Below are 7,413 nucleotides of genomic sequence, written 5' to 3'. Positions count from 1 at the left end.
CATATGACTGATAGATGTTCAAGGTATTAAGAAACTTTCAAAATTTTTTTTGCAAATGGTTAGGCCATTTTATACTCCCACTAAGAGTGTATAAGAGTTTCAATTGTAACACAGCTTCTCCAAAACTTGATATGATCCAAATGTTTAATTTTAGCAATACCCTTAAACACGCATGGCCTTCCCCATTATCAACATCCCCCACAAGAGTGAAACATTTGTTACAATTGATGAACTTATATTGACTCATCATTATCATCCAAAGTCTACCTTAAGGATTAATTTTAGTGTTATACATTCTTTGGGCTTAGAAAAAATTATGATGACAAGAGACCACCATTAGAGTAGTGTACAGAATACTTTCACTGCCCCCAAAATCCTTTGTTCTCTGCCTATTCAGCCTTCCCTCTCCCCATAACTCCTGGCAACCACTGACCTTTTTACTATCTCGATAATTTTGCATGTTCCAGAATGCCATATAGTCAGAATCATACAGTATGTAGCTATTTAAGATTGACATGTTTCACTTAGTAATATGCATTTAGGTTTCCTCCTTGTCTTTTCATGTTTTCAAAGCTAATTTATTTTTAATACTGAATAAAACACCACTGTTTGGATGTAAATAAACCAAAGTTGCTTTATCCATGCACCTGCTAAAGGACATCTTGGTTACTTCCAAATTTTGGCAATTGTGAATAAATCCACTTTACACATCCATGTGCAATTTTTGTGTGTGTGTGTCTGTGTGAACCTAAGTTTTCAGCTCCTTTGGTTAACTATCAAGGAGCACAGCTGTGTTTGTTATTGTGGGTCTTTTTCCTCGCTATGTAAATTTTAGAATCAGTTTGTTGACATCCACAGAATAGCATGCTGGGATTTTTTATTGGAAGTGAATTGAATCTGTAGATCAGGTTGGGAAGAACTGACATTTTGACAATATTCAATCTTTCTATCCATGAACATGATATATCTCTCCATTCAGTTCTTTTCTTTCATCAGACTTTTATAGTTTTCCTTAAACATATCTTGCATATATTTTGTCAGATTTATACTTATTATTTTTCATAGTACTGATATAAGAGGGATTGTGTTTTTTTTTTAAATTTCAAGTTCTGCTTGTGCATTGCTGGATATAGGAAAGAGAAATACTTGTATATATTAACCTTATAAACCTTATAACTTACAACTTTGCTATTCTTGTTTATTAGTTCCAGTGGGGGTGGGGGTTGGTCAATTCTTTTGGGTTTTCTACGTAGACAATCATATCATCTGCAAATACAGTGCTATTTCTTCCTTCCTAATCTAAATACCTTTCATTACCTTGTCTTGTCTTATTGCATTAGCTAGGACTTGCAGTATAAAGTTGAAAGGCAATAGTAGGGGGACATCCTTGCCTTGTTCCTGCTCTCAGTAGGAAAGCTTCTAGTTTCTCTCCATTTAGTATGTTCGCTGAAGCTTTCTGTAAATGTTTTTTACCCAGTTGAAGAAGTAACCATCTATTCCTAGTTTATTGAGAATATTTATGATGCATGGATGGATTTTGTGACGCACGTGTGTGTGTGTGTTTTGTGCTTTTTTCCTGATCTAATTATATGAGCCTTCTTTTTTGAGCAACTTGATGTGATGGATTACATTAATTTTTGACGGGTGTACCAGCCTTGCATACTGGGAATAAAATGAATTTACTTCACGTACAATTCTTTCTATAAATTAGTGGTTTGAATTTACTAACATCTTGTTGAGGATTTTTGCATCTGTGTTCATGACAGTTATGTAGTTTTGGTCAGTAGTTTTCTTTTTTCTAATGTCTTTGTTTGATTTTGGCATTAGGGAAATGCTGATCTCATAGAATTAGTTGGAAAGTTTCCCCTCTGCTTCTAAGTTCTGAAAGGGATTGTGAATAATTTGTATAATTTTTTCTTAAATGTTTGGTGGAGTTCCCCAGCAAGTCCATCTGGGTCTGATGCTTTCTGTTTTGGAAGGCAATTGGTTCTAGATTCAGTATCTAACAGATACAGACTTACTCAGATCATCTATTTCTTCTTGCATGAGTTTGACAAATTGCGTCTTTTAAGAAATTTGCCTTTTTCATCAGGTTATCAAATTTGTGGGCCCAGGTTGGTTCATAATATTCCTTGATTATTTTTTAATATCCACTGGATCAGCAGTGATTTCTTCTCTCTCATTTATAATATTAATACTTTTTGTTCCTCATCTTTTTTTTTCTTAGCTAGCCTGCCTAGAATCTTATCAATTTTATTGGTCTTCTCAAAAAACCAGTTTTTGTTTTATTTGCTTTTATTTTCTCTCTTAATTTCTGTTTTTAATTTTATTAATTCATGCTATAATTTAGATCATTTCTTTACTCCTGTTTACTTTGATTTGTTTTCTTTTTCTAGTTTTCCAAATACTTAGATAATTGAATTTAGATGTTTATTCTTTCCTAATATATGAATTCAATGCCACAAATTTTCCTCTAAGCACTGCTTCTGCTGCATCCCACAAATTTTGACGAGTTGTGTTTTCATTTTCACTTAAAAACATGTTATTTAGAAATGTGTTGTTTAATTTACAAATATTTAGAAAATTTCCAGCTATCTTACTGTTACTTATTTCTAGTTTAATTTCATTGTGTTCTGAGAGCAAACATTGTATAATTTCCATTTTTAAATTTGTTAAGATGTGTTTTATGGTCCAGAATGTGGTTTTAATATGCTCTTATGTCAACATAAATTTTTGTTGAAGTATCTGTTCAACAGATAATTTTTATGAGGCTATTTATCTTATGACTGAATGTGTATATACAGATAATGTTATATGAATTTGTACACACTTATATATACATAGTCTAGTACAAATCCTTAAGTATATACATTTTTCAAATATTTTCTCGCAATATTTAATTCTGTGTGTCTTTTAAAAAGTTTATGTTTTGAGTTTGGATTAAGTCTAATTTACCGAATATTATTGTTACAGTTGTTCCACAAGTCCCTGATGCTTGGTTCATTTTTTCCCTCAGATCTTTTTCCCTTGTTTTAGTTTGAAAATTTTCTATTGCTGTATCTTCACATTCACAAAGATTTTCTTCTGCAGTGTGCTTCTAATCTTATCAGGTGATTTTAAAATATCTCAGATATTGAACTTTGCATTTCTGAAAGTTGATTTGTATCTTTATGTGTTTTTCAGAATGTGTAAAACATGCTCAGTCACTCCTCTAACTTCTGGAACATATAAATAGTTGTAATACCTGTTTCAATGTCCTTTTCTACTAATTCTATTATCTGTATCATTTCTGTCTCTCTTGATTGATTTTTCTCTTCATTATGGGTGGCATTTTCTTGCTGCTTTGCACACCTGCTTATTTTTTATTGCATAGTGGACATTAGGAATATTATTTTATTGATGTTGGATATATTTGCATTCTGATATTCTTGACTCTTGTTCCGTGACACAGTTAAGTTCCTCGAAAATAGTTGCCCCAAGACATTGAATATATTTGCATAAACTAGTATCATTTTAGTAACTCTATGATGATTACTTGTATCCTTTTGCATTCTATATATTTGCAATTTATGAATTTTCTTTACATTTTTTTGAGGTCATTTGTTTTTAGAGATTTACGAATTATTTTGTCTTTTCCAGGAAGCAATTTTTGTTTCTGTCACTTACTTATATTTATTATTCATTTTTCTTCTCATTAATTTCTGCTCTTTTAATTTTCCTTATTCAAATTATTCTGAGTTTACTTACTGTTTTTTTGCAGTTTTTTGACCTTACAGTGGTGAAGATTTTAACATATAATATCATGCCAAAATATGAAAAACTCACTTGACTGGCAACATATTCTTTAAGATAAATAACGTATAATAAATCAAGTGTTGCTATGAAATGACAAAGCCATTAGCGATCATCATAATTCCCTTATAAATTCAAAAAGTAACATTTAGTAAAAAAACTTAAACAACATACAAACAGATGCTAAGACTAATATTTTTTGCTTGCTTGTATATTTAAATATCTGAGAAGTTTGAAGAAATAGAACATAACTTTGTAGTTTGTAGGAGACTATTGAAACTGTTGTTATGTTCTAAAACTATGCTGAGGATAAAACAATTTATATATAGATATAAAAACCTGTCTATCAACTAGTATTTACTGACTATATTTATCTGTAGTTATGATGTAGTTTCATACAAATTAATGCCTAATTCTGTCAAGAAGTGCTTTGGGTGCCACACATTAGTTATGTGGGCTGGTAAATTACTTAATCATTTATTTTTTCACTTTGCTCATCTGTCAAATGGAATTCCTTGTAGTGATTCTGTAAGAATAACATGGTATATTACATATAAAAGTGTTTCATGTCCTAAAAATAATTTGCAAATTAAATATATTAATATTAGAGCCAAAATCCTTTAAGTGCCAAGCCGGATAAATATTAACACTTCCCCTTATGACTATAACTTTGAAATAAGCATATTGTTTTGGTAGTCATTTTATAAATACAGCTAAGAATAAGCTATTATCAGACTTTCTTGCATTTTCAGGATAATGTTACAAAGAATAAAATAAATAAGCTATATAACAGTTATCTTAATTTTATTAATATAGTCATCCAAAATGAGTGACCACAGACCTCCAAAGATGATTTTGTTTTTACCTAATTATTATTGTATACCTGTCTAAGTAAATTCAAAAAATCATATAATTTTCAGTTCTTCACTTTTTAAAATTATCATGGTTTGGCTAAAGAGCTTGGAATTACAATTTTACATGAAGCAGAACATTTAATTTAAATTGCAAAAACTGAGGACACAGCATTTTAAAATGATATAGTCAGAAAGCATAGCACTGAATGGGATAGATTTCAGTATTAAACATCTAAATAACAGAAACAACATAAAATAGAAAAACAAAAGGAATTTCACCAGTATTATTCTGGAAATAGCTTATTTTCATTGTTATTTGAAGAAACCCTACGGTCCACTTCTTGGGTTCAAGCGATTCTCCTGCCTCAGCCTCCCGAGTATCTGGAATTACAGGTGCCAGCCGACACGCCTGGCTAATTTTTGTATTTTTAGTAGAGACAGAGTTTCACCATGTTGGCCAGGCTAATCTCCAACTCCTGATTTCATGGGATCCGTCTGCCTGGGTCTCCCAAAGCTCCCAAAGTGCTGGGATTACAGGTGTGAGCCCCTGCGCCTGCCCTCCTATAGCACATTCTATTAAAATAAAAAAAAAAAAGAGCAAAAAACATATGCACTACAAAATGCTAAGGAAGTGTTATAAAGTTCATTTTAAAGTGTGAGTTTACCTAGATATTAAGACCTACTTTTACATTTGATCTTTTTATCCTTTTTTGTACAGATCATTCAGTTCTAAGTTAATGCAGTAATCAGTTTTGCCTTTAAAATTTCTGACTAAGAATATCAATTCTCATTATTTTAAATATTATTGAAAAATAAACTATAATACATTTGAAAAGCAGTAGAAAATGAAATGTTTAATTTGAGGATGCATATATTTCATCTAAAAAATTAATATTTTATTATCAATAATGTGTAGCACCTTCAAGGCAGTGATTAAATCTATTGTTCTTTGATCAGATGCACAGCTGCAGTAATTTTTAAAAACACATGTTTTTTCTAGATGCAAAAATCACATTACTAGATGCAAAAAATATATTGAATATTCTTAAAATAAATAATTTTAGTAAGATGCATTTGATACTAACCTGAGGCAACACTAGACAAATAGTACAATAATAGCATTTTAGATTATGGAATTTGATGCCATATGGGCATCTTTTTGAGCTCTAGATATTACAATATCCAACATGAATAAGTGACTTAACATTTCAGTTTCCTCATATGTAAGGAGAATAAGAAGATTATCTGCCTTAGAGAGAGATTGTGAGAATTAAGACAAAGTTTTTGTAAGGATCTGGCACATCATAAATATTCAATAAATATCAGAATAAAAGTTATATAATTATTAATAGAAAACAAATTAGTTTAAGAGCTACAGAATGGTGAGGAAAGAGAGTAGCATTATTATGTGCTACTATCATTAAATCATCACCAATGTTTATTTCAACCGCCCATCCCCCCGCAGCCAACATTCTGATAGACTCCCTCACTTTAAGGTGGAGTCCTTCTCTTCCTTCTGAATAATACTGAGAATCACCAGATGGAACATGCTCTATCCTTCATATGTGCTGGTGACTCGGAATTTTTCTTGGTCATTTTGCCAGACAGGGACCTCTGGCCGGCAACGCCCCTGCCTGGCCCTTGATTGGCCAGGCTACCTGCCACAGGAAGAAGCCCGCCCACTCGTCCTGCCCGGGCGTGCCTGGCTTGTGCACCAGCTAAATCCGTGGCTACTGTGGCTGCGCACTCAGCCCCTGGCAGGAGTGGGTGTGTGAGCAAGTGAGTGTGGGGTCCAGCTGGCTGTTCCAAGCACCGGTACACAGGCAGGTTCTAGGCAGGGCTTGCAGCTGGACCAGGCATGTCACCCCGAAGGGAATGCGGTGGCACCCCAAGAGGGGTGCTCAGACCTTGAAGCCCCGGAAGGGGCGATTCTACTTGCTAATTAGCTCTTTTAGTTCTGCCATCCGCAGCCCTAGGGATAGTGACATGTTAACAGCTCTGTCAGCCCCTTGCCCTGCTCTGGCTGGTGGCTCTGGGGCTGGCTCAGCTTTGCCACTGCTTCCTGTCATGTGGGGCAGCCGCCCTCCCCCAGAGGACAGAGGACCACAGTGTTACAGCCTTCTGAGTACTTGTGTTCAGTGAGTCCCAAGTTCTTGTCTCATGTCCAAGACGAATGAGGTCACGCTGACAGTTCAAGAGTGATGAGGACAAAGAATTTTATTGAGCGACAAAACAGCTCTCAGCGAACAGGGGAGGAGAAGGTGGTCTCTGACCTGAAGTTAGCTCATCTAGGTCCGGGATTTTTATAGGCACAGGATGGGGCAGTGGCAGGTATAGGTGGTATTGGAAAAAGCAACATTTGATTGGTTAAAAAGCATTATTCAGAAAGAACAAATCAGGAAAGCACAGGCAAACAGTAATAGAAGTTCTTACTTCAGGTCTCAGGTTTCATCTGGAACTAGCAGCCAGGTCTTTCAGGCTCAGGCTGTATTTGACTTGAAGATGGGGTTTCACTGGAGACCCGTCCCTATCTACCTAGGCATTTGTCTGCCTCCTGCCACTATCAATGGTGAAGGAAAAAGTCTAATAAACTGTGTAGTAAATCCCCAGATCAGCAGTAGGCAATAGCATTTTATAAACATTTTCAGTTGCTTTAATATCAATCTCTATTCACAGAAAGCTACTGCTGTAGTCCAGGTTTTTATAGCTCAAACTGGGCAGTTAACAAATGCAAGTGGTGTCTTCAAAATGAAACTTAAAGTAGACT

General features: G+C 34.2%; 1 annotated feature.

Moving 5' to 3' along the window:
* Positions 6,258-6,552: an enhancer, noted in NCBI's record as "tiled region #9086; HepG2 Activating non-DNase unmatched - State 10:DNaseD". NCBI's record gives its function as "activates a minimal TATA promoter and a strong SV40 promoter by Sharpr-MPRA in HepG2 cells {active_cell/tissue: HepG2}" and the evidence as "EXISTENCE:reporter gene assay evidence [ECO:0000049][PMID:27701403]".

This window comes from Homo sapiens, chromosome 4 (genome assembly GCF_000001405.40).
Source record: "Homo sapiens chromosome 4, GRCh38.p14 Primary Assembly".
Lineage (NCBI taxonomy): Eukaryota > Metazoa > Chordata > Mammalia > Primates > Hominidae > Homo > Homo sapiens.
The sequence above is the reverse complement of the archived record's forward strand: the minus strand, read 5'-3'. Positions and strand labels throughout refer to the sequence as shown.